The 24,178-nt window shown below is 31.8% G+C and overlaps 1 protein-coding gene across 1 annotated transcript in view, besides 1 other annotated feature; it reads left to right on the top strand.

Annotated features, from left to right (window-relative positions):
- Positions 1 to 24,178, top strand: part of PCDH15 (protocadherin related 15) — a 1,825,172-nt gene that overhangs the window by 110,480 nt on the left and 1,690,514 nt on the right. The window lies entirely within an intron of this gene.
- Positions 16,220 to 16,269: an enhancer, noted in NCBI's record as "active region_3380". NCBI's record gives its function as "activates an Ori minimal core promoter by ATAC-STARR-seq in GM12878 lymphoblastoid cells {active_cell/tissue: GM12878}" and the evidence as "EXISTENCE:reporter gene assay evidence [ECO:0000049][PMID:35858748]".

Below are 24,178 nucleotides of genomic sequence, written 5' to 3'. Positions count from 1 at the left end.
AAAAGCCAGGCATCCACATTTTGACTTTGGAGCTCATGGGTCACGGGTTTCTCAGGTATTAAAAGATAACTATAGAGTTTCCAAGTTAAATATATTAGAAGTGCCTTTTGATCCTAAAATACTGAAAACTAATAGGACTTCAGTGCTCAAAATATTTAATATTTGTTAATTTACATCCTGGTTTTTCTGGAAGTAAAAGAAGCAAACAACAACAAACATCAATGTTGACCAATTCACAAGTAAACTGTTAGTTGAAGGACTTGCTAACATTTTACTATTAAATTTGACTTACCAGTTTTTTTAACCTCTCTTACCTCTAAAATCATGTTAAATTACTTTTTTTCAACCTCTTTATTTATATTCTTTATCTTTTTCAAATACCCTTAGTAGTTCTTTAGTGAGTTAATTTAGCTTTATTCCTATATTTCTTTATAAGTGTCATTTCTATTCACAGGATTTGTTTTTCTGTTCTGTACTCATTTTGGAGAAAATCATTAACTTTTTAGTGTCATTTTAAATTTGAGCCTTTATAGTTGGTAGCAGTTTATATAAAGTCTCCATTAGCTGATATAAAATTACAGAGGAGCAGTTTTGAAATACACAGCCCATGTGATCAAATTCACAAAAAAAATCTGAAATTTTTTTGCCTAAATTGAATGATCTATTTGATTGTATTAAATTTTGGCTTAACTTGCAGTCACAAAGCACTAAATATCAAGTATTATGAATCCCAAGGCATCTGGTCAAATATTCATATAAAAGAACTTATTACCTATGATCCTTCTTCTCGCCAATTGATTCTAAAATTTATGGAGAAGACTTGGGTGGTAAAAAGTAACAACTGTGTGATTTGCAGATGCTGTGAAGCTAGCAGGAAAAAAAAATGCTTTTAAGTGTCTTCTGCCATCTCCAAGGGAGAATCAGGCAGACATTGCTATTCAGAAAGACACAGTCTGAGTTGTGTTCCTCCTTGAAATTATTTTCTTTAGTTTTTGATTGATGAGTGGTTAAAGAAGTGTATTGGTCCATTTTTACACTGCTGATGAAGACATGCTCGAGACTGGGTAATTTACAAAGAAAAAGAGGTTTAATGAGCTCACAGTTACACGTGGCTTGGGAGGCCTCACCATCATGGCAGAAGGCAAAAGGCACATCTTACATGGAAGCAGACAAGAGAGAATGAGAACCAAGTCAAAAGGGTTTCCCTTTATAAGTTCATCAGATCTTGTGAGATTTTTTTCAGTGTCATGAGAACGGTATGGGGGGGAACCGTCCACAATTCAATTATCTCCCACCGGGTCCCTCCCATAAGACATAGGGATTATGGCAGCTACAATTCAAGATGAGAGTTGGGTGGGGACACAGCCAAACCATATCAAAAAGTATGCATAAAACAAGGCATGCAGAAGCCAAGTAATAAGGAAAGCAGAGATAATTTTCTCGAAGAATGAGATTAAAAAGCATACTTTCCAGGGACATAAATATGTGTGGAGCTTAAAATTAGAAGATTTCTCAGTACTTTGGAAATCTGAATTCCTACAACACAAACTAACAAAGGATAAAGGTATATTTTTGAAAATTCTTTTTGAAAGGAAGATGCACAGAAGCCTTACAGAGAGTAATAATCCACAAAGGCTTGAATGTAAACAATCATGTGGATTAAATATAAGAGAAGTAGCCACATTAGAATAAGGATATGCACGTGTCCAATTTCTTGATTTGCATGATGACTTTTTTTTAAGGTGGCATTTCTCGACCTTTTTGGTTACAGTATATTTTCTTCATTCTTAAGAGTTATTTAGGACCACAAAGAACTTTTCTTTATGTGGGCTATACATATCAATATTAACTAGATGAAAACTTAAATTGTGAATTTCATAACTACTTATTAATTAATTTAAAGATAATACTAGATCTGCTATTTATTAGTATAAATAGCATAGTTTAATGAAAAAAATAATATTTTCCAAACAATAGTGGGAAAAAATCTACCTTAATGAAAGACACCTAGATTCTCACATCTGCTTCTGCATTCAATCTTTTACAACAAGTCTTTTTCTTGGATTATGGGAAATAAATGTAGCCTTCCAAGATTTATAGTTGAAATACAAAGGGGTATTTAGTAGCCTTTTCAAACAGAAAATATTATTCTCAGGTGCTGTTGGGACTCAAAAACAATGCCCCGGCCACGCGCAGTGGCTCATGCCTGTAATCCTAGCACTTTGGAAGGCAGATCACTTGAGGTCAGGAGTTTGAGACCAGCCTGGCCAACATGATGAAACCCCGTCTCTATTAAAAACACAAAAATTAGCCTGGTGTGGTGGCGAGCTTCTGTAATCCCAGCTACTCAGGAGGCTTAGGCAGGAGAATCACTTGAACATGAAGGCGGAAGTTGCAGTGAGCCGAGATCGCACCACTGCACTCCAGCCCGGGTGACAGAGTGGGACTCCATCTCAAAAAAAAAAAAAAAAAAAATCTATCTATCTATCTATCTATATATATTTTGCCTCAGAAGCCAAAACTTTTCTCTGACCTTCTCCTGCTCTCCTGCCTGTCAGTCCTATTGTCCACCTAAGCTAGAGTAGAAAGTACAATCTCTCTTTCTCTAAGCAGGTAATAGAAATGGCAACTCCATTTCCCCATAGCCAGCCATAAAACTTAAAAATATTATTCTAACTTTCCCTCTGCCTTTCTGTGTAAAAACTGGTCATAAAGAAATTATTTGACCTTCTTTGTTTGACTGTAGTTCATAAAACCCTTATCAAAAGGTCCTGTCCCATACCCAGAGGGACACAATACGTGCTCAGAGAGGACAAGAAGAATCTAGATAGGCAAGTATTGCTGGGTTTCCCCACTCAGTCTGTTAACATTTGATTACGCTTTTTATGTCTAATCATATTTTTACACGGCTGTCTACGCTTTGCCGAACCCAATCATTAAAATGCACAATTTCCCATGTATCTTTAGATTTTCATTCTAAAGGCTCCCAGGTACATGTTAATAAATTTGTAGGCCTTTTCTCCTGTTAATCTGCCTTTTGCCAGTGATTTTCAGCAAACTTTCGGAGAACAAAAGGGAAGTTTTTTCTTGACCTCTACAATACTATACCAAATCTCATCAAGTGGTAGTTTCTTAAAGGTAGCTTCAATGAGAAATCTGAAACCACTTAACAAAAACTTTTTGTATTGTTTCCAAAAATGCACGCTTCAATCTTGTAATTTGATGGCATCTCTTACCTTGAATGACTTTGTAACATCATGCATCTGTCATTTGGAAAATATTAGTCACTGTGTTATGTAGGTATTCATATATTAAAATGTTTTATTATATGAAATCTTCACACATTCTAAATCCTTAGAAAATTGTGACTATATACTCATGAGAGAATGGTAGTGGGTAAAAAAAAATCTTATTAATATTTAGAAATTGTTTTGCCTTTGAAGACTCCTCAAAAAGATGCCAACCAGCCCCATGGATCTCTAGTCTACTCGTTGAGTATCTTGGTTTAAAGAAAATAAGATAAAATTTTGCATCTGAGATGTGAAATGTAAATATTTTGATGTTTGGTACACCTTTTTAAAAGTGTAATTGAAGTAGAAGATTAGGAAGGTGGCTACAAAAGATAGCTTCTCATAAAGTATTCTCAAAAATAGTAGTGTTTGGTGCTAATATATAGTTAGCAATAATTGCAGTCTAAATGTCCTTTGCTTGTACAAATATGAAAAGGATACTCAGAAAATACCAAGAAACAGCAAGAGTTATAGCTACTATTATTTCTACATCTTTATATCAATATAAAAATAAAGTTTTAATAAAAAGTATATAGGTTATTATAATTAAATGCTTATTTGTGATTAAATTTCACAACATATAAACCCCAAATATTAAATAACTTATGTACATTGTTCCAACATTATCCGTTTTATCACCTGTGATGTAATTGTGTGTTTATAACCAAGCATTTCTGACATGTATTTCATTTAATTTTAAAAAATATCTTTAATATGATGTAATATTCTAACCATGAACTCTAATTGAAAGAAAGGTAGATAAGCAAAAAAGGCATAATCAATACTAGAGAATACTACATAGATGACCAAGATCAAGTTTCAGACAGAGCAAAACAAGTTTAGGTTTTATTAGCAGAACTGAGTACAAGAATGCAGTTTTGATGTCATCAATGAGGCAGGGACACACTACATACACCTAGGTAACTAAGTAAGAGCCTGAATACAGAAAACACTAGCCTTTTCATAAATCTTTATTTCATCTGTTTCTTACAATATTTCTATGAATGTGGACTGTTGGATCCTCTTAAGTTTCTACAAAGAACATTAATCACGTTGTCTTAAAATGTGCTCAACGATTACTTTTTACGTCTTATTACTCTTTTTGCCAGTGGTTGTTCAGTCAATCAATTAATCACCAAAGTTATTAAGTGTCAAATATAGGTAAGACAATGTTCCAAATGAAGCCAATATACACAGTAGCACTTGGTAATAGGCTGCTGTAAAACGAGTTAAAGATTTAGGAAAATCCTTGAAGATTTATTTCTCCCTTAATTGCTCCTTTATTTCCAGAAGGTAACAAATTGCCATTGTCATCTTGGTTTCCTGTAGAGGAGGAAGAAATTGTATTTAATTACTTCTCCTTCTGTTCTTTCTGCTTTGGGAAAGCAAGTGACTGAGAATGATAAAACACTGAAGCAAATGTCTGAAGAAATATGATATACTAATCCTTCCAGTGGCTTGGCCTAGACCCCTGTGGCTAGAAAACAATCTTTACATTTAATACACTTCATTCTTCCAACTGCCAATTGTATTTACAAAAGGTGCCAAGGTTCTTAAAATAAAAGGCTCTCTGTGGTATCTGAGCAAGGGTAAACCAACAATTTTCTCCCCTAGGTTCACTGGAAGAATTCTCAAATACCTGTTAGTCATTGACCTAGGCAAAGAGAGATGGTCCATAAAAATCACAGTTGAAGCCCTCAGGGTACCATGCATTATTTGCCCACGGCATGATACTGTAGCTAAAATCCAGGTTTTTAGTAGCTAAAAACACTGTGTGGAAGTGCATTCTAGGAGCGTTAATCCCACAAGACACCCTAGAATAACAAAATAATTCTTAAATTAGTTTGGAAAATACTAATCCTGATTATAGAGGATACAGTGCAAAATAGCTTTATTAAATTAAATTGCAAATATGGAAATAAAGTAGCCAGTCTAACAGGGTTTAACTATTCTCAAACTTTTTATAGCAAGACATTATTTAAATTTCCACGAGTCAGTATTCTCATAAACACCATTTTGATTTAAGAAAATGGACTAGTTTTAGGTAAAGTTAATACCTCTCGTTTCCAGCACCTCTTTAATTGCATCTTATTAAAGTTTGTTTACTTTAATGGAACACTTTTCAACACTTATCAAAATGTTTTTCCCCTTCAGAAAGAGTTCTGATATTAGGCATTAATAAGAACACTAACCACAAGTTAGTGTAGTGTAAGCCCTCTCTCCAAATCTCCTTAAGAATAGCCACTGAAATAGTCACTGAAATAGGGATTTCAATCGCCAATGAAAATGTATGAGTGGCATTTATTTGGCTACATTCTTTACTTGAGTAAGGGAATTAATATTTTATAGTCAGTCTACTCTAGATAATAATAATATCATTTCTAAGCTTCTGTATGATTCTCATGAACATACAAATAGCGAATACATAACTGAATCAACTAAGATTTTGAATTTGGGCTTAATAAAAGAGATTGCTTTATTAGAGGAGCTTTGCATTAAGGAGGAGAGAAATACATCAGACTGCTTATTTGCCATATGAATATTATCAAAATTAGTTTTTAAGTCTTCAACAAACCTAGTAAAAAAAATAAGCAACAACAATTTTAGAAACATGTAGCTAAATCCCAAAACATTTAGTAAATTTTGTCCAAATGGCATTTTTATTTTAATGTCAGAAGAAAATGTGTGAGAACAGAGGGTCTCCTAGTATCAAACCAGTGTTTTGGTAATACTTTTGGAAATAGAATTAAGAACGATATCAGGTTTTGTCAGTGTTCTTCTCTATGGTGGTCACTGTGCCTGATTTTTTTCTGTATGTCTTACATTACCTTGCACATACAAGGTAATCAGGAGCACATATAGACTTGTTAAAATATGACAAAGAAACTTAGTATCTGTTACCAAAAAGGATAGATCAGACTTTTTTCTTTCCAAAGTGGCTTTTGGTACAATAAATATTAAGGACAGAATATTAGTGAATGCTTTCTTTAACATATAAAATAAGACGTGTGGTGACTCATGCCTGTAATCCCACCACTTTGGAAGGCTGAGTTGGGAGGACTGGTTGAGCTCAGGAGTTTGAGACCACCCTGGGAAAGACCTGTATCTCTAAAAAAAAAAACAAACAAACAAACAAAAAAAACAAATTAGCCACTCATGTTGGTGCATGTCTGTGGTCCCAGCTACTTGGGAGGTTGACATGGAGGATCACTTGAACCCAGGAGATTGAGGCTTTAGTAAGCCACGATCACTCCACTGCACTCCAGCCTGTAGAAAGAGTAAGATCCTATCTCAAGTGTGTGTGTGTATGTATATATATTATATATATAGTATATATGTGTATGTATATATATAAAATAAATGAATACATATGCTTATAAGTGCATAAAATATTTCTAAAAGTATAATCAAAAACCTAAATCAGTGTTTGATACAAGGAGGATAATTAGTTTGAGGTCTCAGCAGAAGGAAAAATTATTTTCCACTATTCTCTGTTATTTTTACTTTTGAATTTTAAACAGTTTTTTACAAGAATACATAAATTTTAAAAGCTAAATTACCAGAACAAACAAGGAAACACCTGAATCTATACTTAGCAGAAGTTAGTTCATCAAATCTTCCAGTAAGAAGATGGACTTTTAAGATTAGGACACAAGTTATTGAAATATTTGAGGTTTAGAAACTTTTTTTTAAACAATAAAGGGAGAAAAACACGTTAGCTAGTGACTTTACACTATTGCTTTTCTGAAATTATTCTTTGTAAATTCCACACTCCCACATTCCATACTTTCACAATCCCTTTATAAATTTACCTGAAATATTAAATAACTAAATTCGGGGGAAAAAAGTACTAATAATTTGGTTTTGACTTTAGGAGTATGTTATTCCAAATCAATATGTGATTCTACCGTATGAAGAAAAAATTTGTCTTTTTCCCATCCAAATATTCAAAAAACATATTGCAGTTATTAAAACACTATCAACATTGTGATAACTTACTATAAGAGAAAACCAACATTTTTTAGAGTTAATATATTCAGTTCAGTAGAACCTTTTAACACATATCTAGCAGACCACAATACAAAAAAAAGTCTCTGTTGTTAATCTGTTATATATTATGAGAAGCAAAAGTCATAGTGGAAGATAGTGGTGAAGTTTTCATTTTGGAGTCAGGAGACTCGAGTTCTAATCCTGCCTTCACTATTAAACTGCAAAGCCATTTGTCAATTTCTTGATCTCTAGTTAGCTATTTCTTCATGAATAAAACGGTTAGATTGTCTCCAAGGTTCCTTCCAGCTGGGAGTTTCAATAGCTCTATGATTTGTGACTCAAAGTCACAGTTGTTTCTTAAGAATCATAAATAATGCTTTGTTGCTGACGTATAACTTACACGTTTAGAACCCAATTTTCTGCAAGTTTAAAATTAAATGTAGATTGCTGCCAAAGTCCTTATCAAACTGAATGTGGGGAAATTTGAGAAGGTATGTAGGGAAAAACAAAAGGTAATATATATCATGACATATTAATTTCGATGATGGTTCCGTAAAACATTTGTGTAAATTGTTCTCAATTGGTACAATTAATTTAATGGGACAGCCGTATAAATCACATGTACATTGCTAAGTGGAGGATTCTCCCCTAATTGAAAAACAGAATATATGTAGACTAAGGAATTTGATTAGTAACTATAACCTTGAATTCTTTTTTGAGTTATACCCCAGATATTCCTCTGAATATCTGGATACAGGAGAATGCTGTAAGTCTGAGAGCATCATTTTCCTTCCACATCTGCTTGGTTTCGATTTCGTTTTTAGGTTTTGGTTTTGGACACCCAGTGTTTATTGTTTTTAACAGCGAACTATGTGCTGTAATATTTGTTACAGTCTTCACCTTTCAACACTGTATTGCAGCAGGGAATTTTATACATTTACTATTTACTATATCCTAAAATCTTCTGAGGGCATTTCAGATCATTGTTCTTGATCCTTGATTTTATTTCCGAATCAGCCCAGACGTTTGGATGTGTGCATACCTCGACAGATTGGTTGGACTTATCTCTCTTTGCCTTACTCCAATTTCTTAAGTAATTGCTTTCTCTGACTGTCTGTCATGTATTTGCATCAAGGTTACTAACACAATAGTATATTAAGTGTATTTTATGTATTTTCAGCTTTTGTGTTATGAAATAAAAATATTTTTTTTTGTTTTGTTTTGTTTTGCTTTGCTTTGCTTTGGTTATTTGGACCTGACATTTGAACTTGTAATATTCAGCTACCTTTATGTAGGAAAATTTGACAGCAGTTTTGCTTCCTAGCTTTTATCCTGATCACATAATACAATACAATACAACTTCTCACTTTACCTGATTTCTTTATTATAGTTATTAATTTTATTATACTACCCTGTATACAGTATAGTGCAGTACCTAATATTCTTTTGAAATAAAGTAAAATATTCAATATAAATAACTTTTGAATAAAAGTTCAATACAATTTTCCCCAACCAGTTTAGAAAGCTCACAACTTTGGAAATTCTATGTCAACTTTTAAAATCTGAAGTTATGTTCAAAGAAGTTACATAGAAAAGTAACTCAAAGTTATGTGTATGGTTAATCTCATCTGCAGGTTTATACATTCTATGTCTAATTGAAGCCCACATAAAACTGTGAGTTAAACACACTGACGTGATCTAACTTCATTTAGAAATATCTTCTCTGAGAAACTTTTTATTTCAGTTTCACTGCTTATCTAAAAATGTAGCAATGCTTTTTAAACTAACCGAAGTGAAATCTGTACTGATTTCAATTGATAGCCACATAGGATTCTTGTGTTAGTTTCTTAGTTTGGAAAAAATGATTTCTAATAGAATATATGAAAGGGTAAAAAAATGGAACTGCTCTCTTCCCATGCTAATTTCATTGAACCAAAGGATAGCACAGTCCTTACAGAATGCAGGCATGTATGCATTTCTGTTATTTTCTTAAGTCATGCTAAAATTTATGGTAGAGCCAAAACATGTAAAATGTATCCCACTTTAATTGTGGTCTACCCCACCAAGTCATAATAAAATCTAATTTTAAAAAATTTTCAAAAAATAAAATCCTAAATAAGTGTCCGGGATGTTTTTTCTAAAATAAGTAGGGTAACATTTGTCCAGTTTGATTATCAAAATCACTCAAGTTACAAGTTCTGATATTATACCTCAGTTTATACATGTAGATATACCTTAGGTTATTTTTATCTCTGAAAAGTGGCACAATGATTACATGTTTTTTTAATTAGCCAGAATAATTTTAATTTGGATCTCTTAAATTGATCATGGTTAAGAAAAACACCTCAGCTATTGCTCATGTCTAAATCTGAAGGATTCCACACAACGAACCATTATCTTTTCTGTGACTAAGCTTTAGTATTTAGATATTTGTGGACCCTGAGTTATTAAGATGTCAAATTATACGAATCATTCAAATTCATAAAGACCCAAATTGGTCACTTTCTGGACCAGTTTTTCCCAATTATGCTATATGAAAGTGTTTATATTCAAATGGGAGATCACGCCATTGCACTCCAGCTTGGGCGACAAGAGTGAAACTCCATCTCAAATTTTAAAAAAATTAAAAAATTAAAAAGAAAAGAAAAGAAAACTCAAGTTACTTGGGTTTCTTTATTTTTATTTTTGTAACATTGATTTTATAGCTTAGATTATAATACTTTAAGAAAGGATATAGAATCCAGTGGTTTCCAAACATATCTGCACTCAGCTAGTTTATGTGTGTGTATGTGTGCGTGTGTGTGTTTGTGTATGTGTATGTGTGTGTGCATATGTGTGTGTATGTGCATGTTCATGCAGATGTAGATGACAGCCACTTACCTCCCAAGAATTACTGTGCATTATATTATCTAAAAGTAGCCACATATTTTATGATTGTGATAGAAATTAATACTTGTTGAATGTTTATTTGCCTGATACATGGCAAATGCTTTGCATGCGCTTTTTTCATTTAATCTCCACTATAACCTGTTGAGTGAGATTTTTTTTATAAAAATTATGTGGCTTTGATCTTATGCAATTTCAAGATAAAATTATTGTTACATTTTAAAATTTATAGATGCTGTGGTTGATTTTTTAAATTCTATTTTAAAAAGTAATTATATGTATATACCTATATATAATCTTAATTTAACAAATATTCCACGTTTTTTATGAGCTATGTTACTATTTCATGTGTTAATCTTTAAAGTCACTGAATATTCAATCAGCTTTCAGAAAATTGTAGCCATTATTATAGTTTGCAAAATTTTGCTTGTTACTATGCAAAATAAAATAAATCTATTTGATTTGGGGTTAAAAAATGTATTATGAAATTGAGAACTAGACACCACTAAGAAATAGCTCTAAAACAATATCAAAGTGTATGTGAGATATTATATTCTGTATATGCACATGCTGAAGGATTCAGAAACTTGCCATATACACTTCTATAAATTATACACTCTCCCGGGAATAAAAATTATAGCCTTGAATAAAGTGTCGAGTTTTCAAAATATTACCCTGTTTGTTCCTCCTCGATACCTCTTCTAGTTACCTTATCACCTTCGTCATCTGACTTTTCTTTTTGAGCCTTGAAATGGTTCAGTTGTGAACCCTTTGGTATTCCAATCAAATACACTTTCTTATGTAGCTCTCTACTCACATAGCTTCATTTGTCTCTTCTAGGTAGATGACAGAGTTCCCACACACACAAATAGTATTATCCAACTTTAGACACGTGAGAAGCCTTGTGTTATGTCTTGCATTATGTTATTACATTCTGAGCTATAGCTATCTATTCAATAGCTTCCTTGGTACTTCCCAGAAATCTAATACTCAACACATTACATACTTACAACAAGCAGATTTCCTTCTAAACTATGTCTTCTCCAGTGTCCATCCAATCAAAGAATGTACCACCATCTACTTAGTTATCTAGGCCAAGACACCTTCATCTTTCTCCTGGAGGGACACATTAGATTATTAAATGGTATCCCCACACTCATTTTCTACCTCTAATCTGTCTTTGCACTAGAATCAATCTGATGTCAGTGTCATCATTCTTGTATCATTCATGTGTTTAAAGTCTTTCATGCTATTTTTACAACATTTTCATGTTAATGACCAAAATCTAAGCATAGTCTAAGGTGTCTGAATAATCTGACATCATTTACATTCTAATCCTAATTTAATGCCTCTTTTCTTCTTGTTTTTGTACTTATTTTTCAATCTCTTTACTTAGTTAAAAGCCACCTGGAGGTTCAGCTAAAATGTCACTTCCTCAAGGAAGTCTTCCTACAGGACAGAATTCTCTTAAGACATGTTTATCATATGGGATTCAATAACTAATTGCATAATTGTTAATTTTATAACTGTCATTTTAGGTAGGATATAAAACTTTTGAAGGAATAGATTGTGCTAGTCTTGCTGATGACTATAACTAGCATCTCTTACAACATTGCCTGATACATGTTTGTTGAATGAATGAAATGTAAAAATAAACTGAATTTAAATTCTCCTGCCATTGCAGACTCCTCAGGTCTAACTTAGATGACAGACTTTACCTAAGACATGGACTCCTACCTTCCATATATTGTCTATCATTGTGAATCTGTCCAGCTCAAGATTTTTGAGTCATCTGTGTATTTTTATTCTTTGGCTGTTGTCACAAAATCACCATGTCCTTGTCTACTAATTCCCTTAAAATTATTTTATATTAGTCTTATTATTTTCTTAAAGAATCCAGGTTATCATACCTTATGGTATTCTCCCAATATCTTTATTTTCCAAATTACTATGAACTCTAATTTCAGTTAAATGTCAATAATAAATATCTAAGATCATAGTTACTTTCACTTATCTTTAATAGCTCTTAATTGCTTACACCACTAATTAATATTACTAAAATTAATTGTCAAGATGTATTTCCAGATTAATTTTAAGCCCTAACTCTTGTATAAACCTTCTACTGCAGTATAGATTTTTGTATAAGTATTCAAACATTTCCTGTGTCTTCTCATTAGTTCATATCAAAGTGTTCTCTAGAAAAACAAAAACAAAAACAAAAACAAAAAACTTGCCTTCAGAAAAGTTTCCAATGCAAGTCAGAACATTGTAAAGCCCTGAAATTAGCTCTTATGACAAACTCCTATTTGTTAATACGCTACAAAACATAGTTTGACATGCTTGAAATTAAAAATATTTTGTCTAATTTAAGAACTAAAGCACTAAAGTGCATATTTTGATTTGAATTTTCCTAGTATTTCTCAGTAAATAATTTTGTTTCCAAAAGGAACTCATTTAAATGTATGCATTATATCTATGTATTTATTTTCTGAATGATAAAACAGAAAATATTTGTTGAATTATGTTGTATGTAAGATACAATACAGATATAAAAATAACAGTATAATATGAAAATATTACCTGATGTAATGTTTTTCATTAGTAATAGCCTCTATTATTCATTATTGTATGCTGTTACCATTTGATATGTATTTGGGTGAATTTTTTTCTTTTCATTCTAGTTGTTGAGAAAAATTCTACTTCTTCGTTTTTTTATATGATGAGAAATGAAGCTTAGAAAAGCTAAATTACTTCCTAAAGTCACATAGTCAGTTATGGATGTACTGGTAATTAAACCTAAATGTCTTAACTTTAGAATTTTTTATTTTAAACACTTTACCAAATTTTAAATGACATATTTACAGTTTTTGTCTTTGAGACCTCATTTACAATATGTGAGCACTTTTTAGTTATTTTTAAAAATAATGAAATATATCCAACATATTTTCAAATAATTAACTTTATTTTTAGAGCAGTTTTAGATTTATAGCAAAATTGAGATTTCTCATGTAACACCTGCCCCACATTTGCATAGCTTTTCCTATTATCAACATTCCTCACCTGAGTGGTGCTTTTAATTTTTTTTTAATTTTACAATTGATGAATCTACAATTATATGTCATTAGCATCCGGAATGCATAGTTTACGTTAGGGTTGACATTTGGTGTTCTAAATTCTATAGGTTCAAACAAAGGTATAACATGTATTCATCATTATAGTCATACAGAGTTGTTTCCCTGCCCTAAAAATACTCTGTCCTCCACCTACTCATTCCTTGCTTTTGCCTAAGTCCCCTGATCCTTTTACATTCTGTATAGTTTTGTCTATTCTAGAAGTCACACAGTTGGAATCATAGAGTATGTAGCCTTCTCAGATTGGCTTCTTTGGATAAATACCAAGGTCCTTGGTCGCGGAATCATACAGTAAAAATATATTTAGTTATGTAAACAGTTGCCAGAGAATCTCCAACATGGCTGTACCATTTTGCTATGAATGATAATTCCTTTTACTCCTTGACAAGATTTGGTGTTTTCAGTGTTCTGGATTGTGGTAATTTTCATAAGTGTGTGGTGGTTTCTTGTTTCAATTTGCATTTCCCTGATGACATATGATATGGAGCACCTTTTCATATGCTTATTATCTGATTATCTTTTTGGGAGGTCATTATACTATTTCTAATACTCATATAAATGATGTTTTATTCTCACAATATTACCAATAGTTTAAAATTATCTTCAATGTTGTCCTCTGGCTTCCTATGCTACATTTCAGATTGTATGAAAATCTAAGACTTCAATGTAATTAATTAAATTTTATTATCAACATAAAATAAATAAAGATTCCATCACATCAAAATAAACATTCCATATATTTAAATATATTTTAATTAATACAATATAATTTTAAATTATTTAGCTATTTAGAATATTTATTTTATATTTAAATTTATTTTAATTAATAAAACTTAATTTTAAAATTAGAAACTTAGTTTATTTAAAATTTAATTCAAATTATGCATATATAAGATTATTACAATTTATGAAAACCGTTGTTTATCTTTGTTAATTGTAAAACTTTGTAATTGTATTGAGGAAACAGTGTAGAATTCAGATAGTCCCACTCTGAAACCTAGAACTTAACTCATAATAAGCATTAAATATATGTGTTTAATGAATTAATAATTCAAAACTAGTTACTGTATTTTTATAAGATGTCTTTCATATTTGAGGCATGGTTTCCTATAAAAACTAATGAATGAGTTAATCTGTATAATTTAGGAAAATATATGTTGTTTTGCTATTAATGTTTAATTTGTCACACATAAAAGTGCTCCTTCAGAAATTTATTTTGCACAGTTAGGTTACATTTTGATAAGCAGTTAATTTATTAAAAATTAACCTACTGAGAATCTGTTTCTTAATATTGGAACTATTTGTTCTTCAAAACACGAAAAAAAAGAATAACAAGTATAAATAAATTTTTGGTGTGTACTACATTTTAGCCAATGCACTACGCTTTCATATCACATCCTTTATTTATAACCACATTAAGGATAAGAAAATTGAGACTCAAAAAGGAAAGATAGTTTGACCAATCTAACAATCAGCCCAATTACTGTTAGAGCCTAGAATAGAGTCCAGGCATTATTTCACCAGCAATCCTCTATCCCTTGACTCAGAAAATACCGACTGACTGTTTACTAAAGTTTCAAGCACTCTTTTAAGTCTTAAGGTTAAAAAGGAAGTGTGAAAACAAACTTTATCACTGCGCAATAAGACATATTTTTATCTGATAATAAATATGACACTCCAACGTGACATCCAGGTTATGATGGAGATATGCGTGTGATCATGATAGTGTATACTAGAAGTATTTCATTAATTCAGAAAATTGATGGAAGCTTTTTTCAAGAAAATATGATTGGTGGGGTTCTAAGCTTGAAAGGGTGCTCTCTGGGCAAAGAGGATGAGAAGGGCTGTTACTGCCAATGGAACAGCATGTGTCAATGACACTGTAACTAAAGGAAGCATTGTATTTAGTAGGCACGGCATAAAGAGCAATACAAGTGGGACAGAAAGAGATTGGAAATGACGTGCAATATGAGGCTGGAATGGCAGTTCCATAAGGAGAAGTAATAAAGCCCTGATGTTTCAAGGCAGGTAGGAAAAATAGTAAGGTAGTCACTGCTTAAAATTAATTTTTACTTAGGAGAGGGTTTTCTTACATGTGAATGAATTTTTATTGCAAAAGTTTTGGTCTAGGTATCACACATAGTTACAAAGACCTGCAAGTGGGAAGGATGTAAAGAAATTACATAAGAAAAAAAACATTTTTAAATATTTTTAAAAATTTGGCTATATAGTAAGTTGCCTTGTTAAAAGATTGTTTTTTCATTAATGTTCCTTTAATATGTCAAGTACAAAGTTAGTGTGGATGATGGAATTACTGATTAATTGATAAACAAGAGATTGATTTTAATCTTGACCATGGTACTGTCCATTTCACCATGCAATTCACAGGTGCTTTAAACAATGCCTCTTCACTGAGATTCTGTTAGTTTATTGCTACCATTTATTATTTGCACAAATGACATAACTACTCCAAACTTGTAACTTATAGTTGGCATAATTGCACTTTCTGATTCACCTAATCTAACTTGGCAGCTTTAAGATTTCAGAGGAAATAATTAATTTATTAAAATAACTTTTATTTTCTAAAACACTATATAACCATCAAGGGGTATTATCTCATTTCTTGGCTTGCATTTACTTCACTACCTCAACAATTGTTTTTCTTATTACAGATAAAATTAATAAATACATCATAATAGAGGAAATTAGCAAATACATAATCACTATCCAATGCTATTATTTGAATGATTTTTAAATAGTCCCCAGATATGATTAATAATTTTATTAGTTTCCTAGGACTTCCATAACAAATTAATATAAATTCGGTGGCTTAAAACAAGAGCAATTTAATCTCTCACAGTTCTGGAGGCTAAAAGTCCAAAATCAAGTTGTTCTCAAGGCTACACTCCCTTTAAAGCCTTTGAGGTGGATCCCTCCTTTCCTCTCTCAGCTTCAGGTACCCCAGGAGTGTTCCCTGGCTTGCAGATGTATCATTGCAATCCCTGCCTCTGCCATTATGTGGCAGTCTTTTCCTTGTGTGTCTCTGTCTTCTCTTCTTAAAAGGACAGAAGTTATATTTGATCAGGGCCCACTCTAATGACCTCATCTTAACTTGACCACATCTGCAAAGATCCTGTTTTCAAATAAGGTCACATCTGCAGGTATTAAAGATTAGGACTTTAACATATCTCCTTAGGGACTTCAACCCATTAAAATGTCCAACTGTTGTTAATTTTGATCACAAGATCAATGTCACTTTGAAATGCATTGAGGCACTGTGTCATATAAAGAGTCAACTAATCAATATATATTTGTGAAATATTAACAAATATGTATTATATGTATTTGGGTTAAAAGTCATAGAAGCAAAATTTACTACAGACAGCATTCTAACTTTATATGCACTCAAATATTTCACCTTTTACCTAAGTTCACATGGGTTGCCCAAAGATGTCAGAAATATTAGGTAGTGTAGACACAGATTTCTGTCCATAATTCCATATGGATGATCAGGGTCTCACTATTCTATGTGAGATCAATAGACCAGCAGCATTGTCATCACTTGGGAGCTAGTTAGAACTGAAGAATTTGGGTCTCTGTTCTAGTCCCACTGAATTAGTATTTTCATTTTAATAAGATTCCTGGGAGACACATATTCATATTACAGGTAGAGAAATGTTGCTCCAGAGAATTTTATAATTACTTCAACACTCAATAGGAAATTTGTAAAACTTTCTTGTATTCTGACAATCTCTTTAGCCCTCTGACTGCCTCATGTAAAAGTTAAATATGCTAATCAATTTAAATCTAAAAAATAAGATAATATACTGTTTCATGTAATTGCTTCAACTGACTTAGTCCTTCATATTTAAATCTTCTTTTGAATTTCAATACTTTGGTCAAATTTATCCTAAAGTAATTGGTGCAACTATAGGAAATTTTAAAATATCATACATCCTAATACATTCTTTAAGATACCTGTTTCCTTAGTCATTTACCAGAATTCTGCTGTTCTTATCTGATGTATTAAACTATATTCAACTTTAAGATACTGTTCCCATAATCACCATTAACAATTTCTTTTCTGACTATTATAAAATTCATAATTTCATATGACTCTTTTTAGCTAACATATTTATCTTAGATATTACATTTTGTAAACTCTTTTTGCACCTGATGGAAAGCAAGTATCTCATAATTTACAAAAGGTGTGCATTTTTATATTCACACAATAAAAATTACCTAATTATTTCGATGCATTAAGTAGATTTCAAAAACATCTTTCACATTTACTTAGCCTATTTTATATGATATTTGAAATCTTTTATTCTAAAAGGAACTGTTACCAAATAAATATAATTTTATTAATTTAAATCATACATTTTAATATTGTACTTCAAGTTAAACTTAGAAGAGTTTTATTTTAACTTGCTATTTAAAACATTGCAAATTGAACAGACATACAAATTACATGTCAACATGGAATTTTTTTTAGGCTACTTTCCTACAAATACTAGGGGATGTATGTTTAATTGGATAACCTTTCATCTATTTTAGCTGAGTCAGGGTTTGATCTTGACAATTAAAAAAATTGTATAAGAATTTTAAAAGAATGTACAAAGACATCTAAGAAAACTGATTAAGATTTCATTTTTAGAATGAAGAATAAGAAACCTAGAATAATGAGACATGGTGAGAGATGCAACATTATTTGTGTGTGTGTGTGTGTGTGTGTGTGTGTGTGTGTGTGTGTGTGTGTGTAGGGAGAGTCTATAAAAAGAAGATAGTTTAAATTGCTCCTTTACAATTATTTTAGGATGGTTGATAGCATTTTGTTTTTGTATTCAAATGTATTTTTCTCAAATCCTATGAAAGATCATATGAAAATTGTATTAGTTTTCTGTTACTGTCAAATTACCACAAATTTAGCAACTTAAAACATGTAGTTATTATTGCTTCATTTGTGTAGGTCAGGAGTCTGGGTTTGGATAAGCTATTTCCCCTGCTCAGTGTCTCACCAAGAAGAAATCAAGATTGCTATGGATGCATATGAAAATTATGTGAAAATTCAGTACTCTGCCAATCTCACCAATTGTTTGGAAAAGTCAAACATTTTCTCCAGTTGACAGGCATCAAAACAGTGACCAAAGCCCTCAATGTCTTGCTAGCTGTCAACTAGACATAATTTTTCAACTCCTAGAGGATACCTACCATTCCCTGCCATCTGGCCCTGAGCAAACATGGCAGTTTACTCCTTTAAAGTCAACAGGATGGTATTTGTTGCAGCTTTGAATTGCTCTGATTTCTATCTGTAACATCTGCATCCCGTTCTGTATGGGGTCTTCAAGATAGCCTATCCAAACTCATGAGGCCATTATGTAGCATGCATAGCAAGGGATAGGAGTTTGGGAGGCTATTTTAAAATCCTGTCTATCACAAAGGTCACTGTCAGTTTCTGCTTTAAGGTTCAGGTGCAGGTTCATTATGAAGATAGCAATCATCTACTATAGCTGCTACTTATATAGTACTGAGCATATTTCATACTTGGCATAGTATGACTCAGTTTTCATTGTTCAAAGATACAATTGAGTATTGAACAATGAGGTTATGTGTAATCAGAATTCATTTGTCACTTCAGGAGATATCAGACACATGGTGCCATGTTTATGTGCTTCATTTCTCATTTTAAAGTGTCTTGATGAAAAGTAGGTCACTTGAACAGTTTTTTATTTGAAATAAGTGAACACACTTTATAAAATGTGGATGCTTGATTTGCTTTTGTTGGGTGCAGCTATACTGTGGAATTTCAAGTCATTTTACAAGCACACTAATTTTATATTCTGCAGAAGTCTTTTCACTTTATCAGAAGCTATCTAGGTTCAAGTATCATGCAGAATCAAATACCCCATGCCTTTGTAGACATTTTCATCAATTATAAATCTGCAATGAGTCATTGAGACACAGAACGAAACTTAAATGTAATTTCGACTTTAAAATATAATAACTCAACCTTCTTAAAGATGTTTAGAAACATTTTGGTGGAGATAATTGCATTCTTCAATTGCCCAGTCATTTTACATTTGAATAAGGAACATGGAATCTTTGGAATCCATTTTATTCTTCAAAAGCATAAACATTAATGAAGCTGCACTTAAGAGTAGATATAGGCTAAACCCAACAGATTTATACATATCCGTAGGTAAAAGAATTTAAATCACAAGATTCTAGAAATTGCCAGCTAATCTTATACATTTTGAACGTGATAGAATTTGAAGAGAGTTCACTTTTCCATTTCACATCTTTCCACTTACATTTATCTATGTGTAGATAGAATCATCTTGCCAGATATGTGATGTGAGTTTATGTGAAATAAATGAATTCAAGTAGTGTGAAAGACGAGGCAACATTCAGAGAGAAAGATTCTTACAAAATGGGTTTCAGAACACTCAAACTAAGTCTTTTCCCAGAAATAACTTTGGTTGAGCATTCAGAAACACTGTTTTATATCTTCTATTGGTTTGCTCTTTTGATTTAAATGCTGTTAATTTTAGTTTTAAAAATATTTTATTTTCAATATAAAAATGTTTTCCCAAGGAAATAAACATTTTAATGGCTGAAATTTTATGAAATTGTATTATCATTATTAATGATCAAGTCATCAAAGCTGTGTTATTACTTACAGAAAAGTAAGCCAAGCCAACTCGAAATCAAAGGTTTTTAAAAAGTACCTCTTTTCAGCCAGACGCGGTGGCTGATGCTTGTAATCCTAACACTTTGTGAGGCCAAGGCAAGAGGATTGCTTATGCTCAAGAGTTCAAGCATGGACAACATAGTGAGACCTTGTCTCTACAAAAAATTAAAAAAAAAAATCAGCCAGGCGTCATGGTGTGCACCTGTAGTCCTAGCTACTCAGGAGGCTGAGGTGGGAGAATCTCTTGAGACCTGGAGGTCTGGGCTACAGCCAGTGATGATTGCAGCACTGTACTTCAGCCTGGGTGACAAAGCAAGATGCTGTCTCAAAGAAAAAATTACATGTAAAATGATGTATTCTGATATTTTATTACCTCCTTTAATTTTTTCCATTTAATATTTTATTTAAATTCATTTGTTCTAGCCTGTCATTTTCTACAGAACACTTTCCCATTAAAAATTGTCCCCAAAAGTATTCTGTGGTTAAATAAATCCAGCTAAACTACATATTTTGCCTATTTTGTGGAGACTCATAAAACAAATTAGCTTACTAAAATCAATGGAAAGTTATGCAGATATTGTTTAATTTTATTTACCTGACCTTTTCAAAACCTAGCCAATTATGAAAGCAGTCAATAATAATTGAAACATTAGTTTAAAACAATATATTAAGATTATTCGTCTTTCACATTTGGCTTTTTCATATCAGTTTTCCATTGTATGATTACCATATATAAGCCCATATATAGTATGTATAGACATATATGTGTATACCCATGTATATACTTCTGTCTATATTTTCCTAGCTATTCTTATATGCTAAAATTAAAATGAATTCAAACTAATATCTCTAATTAAATTCATCAGCACAAGGTTTGTATTTCCCTCCTCACTTGATTATTTGTAAAGTCTTTCTCTGGCCATTAAAAACGTGGTTCCTATTTTCTACAGTGTAGTTACTTAATTGTCTAATTCTGTGTGTGTGTTAAATTTAGTTTTAAAAATATTTTATTTTCAATATAAAAATGTTTTACAAGGAAATAAACATTTTAATGGCTGAAATTTTATGAAATCATATTATCATTACTAATGATAAATTCATCAAAGCTGTGTTATTATTTATAAAAAAGTAAGCCAGGCCTGTGTCTATGTCTGTGTGTGTGCACGCGCACGCACACGCATTTGTGCTTATTTATTTTTTGGATCACATTTCTTTGAATTTTTTTTTCATGATCTTCTGGTTGATGGGATTTCTGCTGAGAAATCTGTGATTTATGTCTTTAAGTTTTATTGAGATATAACTCATATACAATTCACCCATTTAAAATGTACAAGCCAAAGTTTTTAGTAAGTTCACGTGTGTGCAATCATCACTGAAAGCAAATCTAAAATTATTTTTCCTCCTCCCCAAAATATTCAGCCCATTTGCAGCCACTTCACATCCCTTTGAACCTCACCCTACCCCTACCTGTAAGAAACCACCAGTCTACTTTCTGTCTTATAGATTTGCCTATTGTAAACATTTTATAAAAATAGAATCCTATGATATAGTCATTTGTAATTATTCATTTTTTATTAACAAATAAGATTCCATTATATGGTTAGTCAACACTTTATTTATCCATTCATCAGTTGAAAGGCACATGGATTGTTTCCATTCTTTGGTTATCATGAATAATGCTGCTTTGAACATTTGTATACAGCTTTTGTGTGGGAGTGTGTTTTCACTTCTCTTTAATATATAAGTAGAAGTGAAATTCATGGGTCATATGTTGAAAATTTTGAGAAAGTGAAAAATTTGTTTCTTAAAGAACCTGTAATCTTTTACATTCCCACCAATAAGGCATGAATATTCTAATTTCTCTACATGGAGCACACAAGTTATTATGTGCTTTTGAATACAACCATGCTAGTGGATATGAAGCTATTTTTCAGCATTGTCTTGAGTTTCATTTCCCTATTCATTAATCTTTGCTCTGCTTTTGGCCATTGTATATGGTCTTTGTTGAAATGTCTATTCAAACCTCTTTCCCATTTTTAATTGGATTATATGTCTTTTTATTATTGAGTTCTGATAATTCTTTGTAAATTCTGGGTAGAAGTCCCTTATCAGATTTAAGGCATTCAAATTTTTTTCCATTCTGTATTTTTCCTTTTGACTTAGTTAATGTTAATATTTGTAGCATAAGGGTTTTTAATTTTCATGAAATAGAGTTTATATATGTTTATGTATATTTTATTCCATTGATTGTAATTTTGGTTTTATATTTAAGAAATCATTGGCTAATCCAAGGCCATGAAGACATACACCTATTTTTTCCTGTAAGAGTTTTGTGGTTTTAACTCATACATATTTAGGTATATAATCCATTTGAGCTAACTTTTATGTATGGTTTGATAGGGGTCCAATGTCATTTTATTGCATGTGCATATCCGGTTGTACTAGCACTATTTGTTGAAAAGCTATTTTTGACACCCTTGTCAACAATTAATTTACCATAAATACTAAGGCTTATTTATAAATTTATAATTCCATTCCATTAATCTGTGTGTCTATACTCATGACAGTACATCACTTTGTTTAGTACTGTAACATTGTAGTAAGTCTTACAGTTAGGAAGTATGAGTTCTCCAACTTTGGTTTTGTTTTTCAAAAATGTATGCACATAAGATTATATGAAGAAATAATCATAACAAACTTATAAAAGTTTATGCTACATATATATCTCACTAGCATCAAAAGAGAGAGGAATGGAGTAGAGTTATCCAGGAGTAAAGATTTTAATTTCAGTGGACTTCAATCACTGTAAATCTGAGGTAGATCCTGATGGGATGCATGTTGCAAAATCTAGAGCAACCACTAGGAAAATAACCAGTATATAAATAAAAGTTATTAAATGGAATAAAATTTAACTTTAGAAAATATCCTCTTAACAATAAAATAGGAAATAAACAAAAGACAGAAAAAGGAAAAATTCAAAAAGAATAAAAGAAGCAAAATGGCAGATGTAAATTCAACCACAAAAATAATAATATTACAAATGAATATATTAAACAATCCAATCAAAAGTGAGTTGATTCAATTACTTGTGGTTTACAGGGGACACATTCTAGACTCAGAGATGCACAAGTTTAAAGTTAAAGGAATGAAAAATATAAACCAAAACAAAAAATTATAAAGGAGCTAAAGTGGCTATATGAATATCAAAGTAGACTATAAAATAAAGAAACAATTATTCAATAATAGTAGTTGAAAATCTTCATACCCTACTTTTATTAATGGGTAGAATTATGCTGAAGATTGACAAGAAAATGAAGACTGGAGCAACATTATAAACAAACTAGACCAAACAGACATTTGTAGAACATTTTATCCAACAGCAGATTATACTTTCATCTCAACATGTAATGTATGTAGACTATTCTCCAGAACAGACTATGTGTTAGACCATAAAACAAGCCTTAAAAATTAAAATGGATTCTAATGATGTAACATACATTCTTGTCAAATATGAAAATCATGAAGAAACTAGAAAATATAGATTTATGCAATTACCTAAATTAGCTGAGAAAAGGAGGGAAAAATATATGTGCCACTACACTCTATTTTGTAATTCTATAAATAATTAACTTTTCCATGACTCTTTGCTTCTTATTTGGATTTGAGTGACTGCTCAGAATCACTTAATCACTTAATTTCAGTCTGAAGAATTTCCTCCAACATATTTTATAAGGCAGGTCAGCTGCCAGCCAGTTATTTCATTTTTGTTTACATAAGGATGTCTTTATTTTGCCTTCATCTTTTGAAAGAGCTTTGCTAGATACTAAGTTTTTGATCACATATTTCTTTTTTCAGCACTTTGAATATGTCATCCTTCTGGCTCAAATGTATGCAATTAGAATTTAGCTATTTATTCTTTCCCTTTTTTTTTTTGAGACAAGGTTTTTCTCTTTCACCCAGGCTGGAGTTCAGTGGTATGATCATGGCTTACTGCAGCCTTGACCTCCTGGGCTCAATCAATTGTCCCACTCCAGCCTCCTGAGTAGCTACAGGTGTATGACACCACACCCAGCTAATATTTTGTAGTGACAAGTTTTCACCATGTTACCCTGGCTGGTCTTTAACTCTTGAGCTCAAGCAATCCACCCACCTTGTCCTCCCAAAGCATTGGGGTTACAGGCATGAGCGAC

This window comes from Homo sapiens, chromosome 10 (assembly GCF_000001405.40).
Source record: "Homo sapiens chromosome 10, GRCh38.p14 Primary Assembly".
Lineage (NCBI taxonomy): Eukaryota > Metazoa > Chordata > Mammalia > Primates > Hominidae > Homo > Homo sapiens.
Note: the sequence above shows the minus strand (reverse complement) of the source record. Positions and strands in the feature narration are given on the sequence as shown.